This window comes from Homo sapiens, chromosome 7 (genome assembly GCF_000001405.40).
Source record: "Homo sapiens chromosome 7, GRCh38.p14 Primary Assembly".
NCBI lineage: Eukaryota > Metazoa > Chordata > Mammalia > Primates > Hominidae > Homo > Homo sapiens.
Window position 1 is genome coordinate 150,704,538 of NC_000007.14, and position 3,179 is coordinate 150,707,716.

Consider the following 3,179-nt stretch of genomic DNA (forward strand, 5'->3'; position numbering starts at 1 on the left):
AGACTTCAATATCCTACTTTCAATAGTGAATAGGACATCAGACATAAAATCAACAAAGAGACAATGGAACTGAACTACACTATAGGGCAAATGGACCTAATAGATTTATACAGAACTTTTTATCCAACAGGAGAAGAATATATATTCTTCTCATTCATACATGGAACATTCTCCAGAATAGATCACATTTCAGGTCACAAAGCAAATCTTAACAAATTTAAGAAGATTGAAATCATTCCAGATATACTATCCAACCACAATAGAATGAAGCTAGAAATCAATAAAAGCAATAAAAATGGGAAATTTCATGAATACATGAAAACTAACACACTCTTGAATAATCACTGGGTAAAAGAAGAAATCAGAGAAATTTTAAAACTATCTTGAGAGAAGTAAAAATGAAAATATAATTTATCAAAAGTTACAGGATACAGCAAAAGGAGTTCCAAGAACGAAATTTATAGCAATGTGGAAGCATCTGAAGACCATTATCTTAAGCAAACTAACACAGGAACAGAAAACCAAATACCATGTGTTCTCACTTATAATGGGAGCTAAACATTGAATACACATGGACACAAAAATGGGAACAATAGACACTGGGGATTACTTGAGTGGGGAGGGTGGGAAGGGGGAGAGGTTGGAAGGCTACCTATCGGGTACTGCGCTCACTACCTTGATGATGAGATCATTCATACACCAAGCCTCAGTGACACACACTGTACTCATGTAACAAACCTGTACATATACCCCCTTAACCCAAAATAAAACTAGAAAAAAAAGAAGAGCAATCTCAAATAAGCAACCTAACTTTACACGTCAAATTACTATAAAGACAACAAATAGATATGGATAGCATTGAATCTATAAATTACTTTGGGCAGTATGGCCATTTTCACACTAAGCAAAAAGAACAAACTGGAGGCATCATGCTACCCGACTTCAAACTATACTACAAGGCTACAGTAACCAAAACAGCATGGTACTCGTACCAAAACAGATAAATAGACCAGTGGAACAGAACAGAGGCCTCAGAAATAACACCACACATCTACAACTATCTGATCTTTGACAACCCTGACAAAAACAAGAAATGGGGAAAGGATTCCCTATTTAATAAATGGTGATGGGAAAACTGACTAGCCATATGCAGAAAACTGAAATTGGACCACTTCCTTACACCTTATACAAAAATTAACTCAAGATGGATTAAAGACTTAAACCTAAGACCTAAAACCATAAAAACCCTAGAATAAAACCTAGGCAATATCATTCAGGACATAGGCATGGGCAAAGACTTCATGACTAAAACACCAAAAGCAATGGCAACAAAAGCTAAAATTGACAAATGGGATCTAATTAAACTAAACAGTGTCTGCATAGCAAAAGAAACTATTTTCAGAGTGAACAGACAACCTACAGAATGGGAGAAAAATTTTGCAATCTATCCATCTGACAAAGGGCTAATATCCAGAATCTACAAAGAACTTAGATAAATTTACAAGAAAAAAACAAACAACCCCATCAAAAAGTGGGCAAAGTATATGAACAGACACTTTTCAAAAAAAGACATTTATGCAGTCGCAAACATATGCAAAAAAGCTCATCATCACTGGTCATTAGAGAAATGCAAATCAAAACCACAATGAGATACCATCTCACGCCAGTTAGAATGGCAAACATTAAAAAGTCAGGAAAGGTGGGGAGGAGCCAAGATGGCTGAATAGGAACAGCTCTGGTCTACAGCTCCCAGTGTGAGCGACGCAGAAGATGGGTGATTTCTGCATTTCCATCTGAGGTACCGGGTTCATCTCACTAGGGAGTGCCAGACAGTGGGTGCAGGTCAGTGGGTGCATGCACCATGCGTGAGCCAAAGCAGGGCGAGGCATTGCCTCACTCAGGAAGTGCAAGGGGTCAGGGAGTTCCCTTTCCTAGTCAAAGAAAGGGGTGACAGACGGCACCTGGAAAATCAGGTCACTCCCACCCAAATACTGTGCTTTTCCAACAGGCTTAAAAAACAGCGCACCAGGAGATTATATCCCGCGCATGGCTCGGAGGGTCCTATGCCCATGGAGTCTCGCTGATTGCTAGCACAGCAGACTGAGATCAAACTGCAAGGTGGCAGCAACGCTGGGGAAGGGGCGCCCGCCATTGCCCAGGCTTGCTTAGGTAAACAAAGCAGCCAGGAAGCTCCAACTGGGTGGAGCCCACCACAGCTCTAGGAGGCCTGCCTGCCTCTGTAGGCTCTACCTCTGGGGGCAGGGCACAGACAAACAAAAAGACAGCAGTAACCTCTGCAGACTTAAATGTCCCTGTCTGACAGCTTTGAAGAGAGCAGTGGTTCTCCCAGCATGCAGCTGGAGATCTGAGAACTGGCAGACTGCCTCCTCAACTGGGTCCCTGACCCCTGACCCCCGAGCAGCCTAACTGGGAGGCACCCCCCAGCAGGGGCAGACTGACACCTCACATGGCCGGGTACTCCAACAGACCTGCAGCTAAGGGTCCTGTCTGTTAGAAGGAAAACTAACAAACAGAAAGGACATCCACACCAAAAACCCATCTGTACATCACCATCATCAAAGACCAAAAGTAGATAAAACCACAAAGATAGGGAAAAAACAGAGCAGAAAAACTGGAAACTCTAAAAAGCAGAGCACCTCTCCTCCTCCAAAGGAACGCAGTTCCTCACCAGCAATGGAACAAAGCTGGACAGAGAATGACTTTGACGAGCTGAGAGAAGAAGGCTTCAGACGATCACATTACTCTGAGCTACCGGAGGACATTCAAACCGAAGGCAGAGAAGTTGAAAACTTTGAAAAAAGTTTAGAAGAATGTATAACTAGAATAACCCACACAGAGAAGTGCTTAAAGGAGCTGATGGAGCTGAAAACCAAGGCTCGAGAACTACGTGAAGAATGCAGAAGCCTCAGGAGCCAATGCGATCAACTGGAAGAAAGGGTGTCAGCAATGGAAGATGAAATGAATGAAATGAAGCGAGAAGGGAAGTTTAAAGAAAAAAAGAATAAAAAGAAATGAGCAAAGCCTCCAAGAAATATAGGACTATGTGAAAAGACCAAATCTACATCTGATTGGTGTACCTGAAAGTGACGGGGAGAATGGAACCAAGTTGGAAAACACTCTGCAGGATATTATCCAGGAGAACTTCCCCAATCTAGCAA

General features: G+C 42.0%; 1 annotated feature.

The window, feature by feature from the left end:
- Nucleotides 2,102-2,601: an enhancer, noted in NCBI's record as "H3K4me1 hESC enhancer chr7:150403727-150404226 (GRCh37/hg19 assembly coordinates)". NCBI's record gives its function as "activates a minimal SCP1, AML or CMV promoter by ChIP-STARR-seq in primed H9 embryonic stem cells {active_cell/tissue: H9 hESC(primed)}" and the evidence as "EXISTENCE:reporter gene assay evidence [ECO:0000049][PMID:30033119]".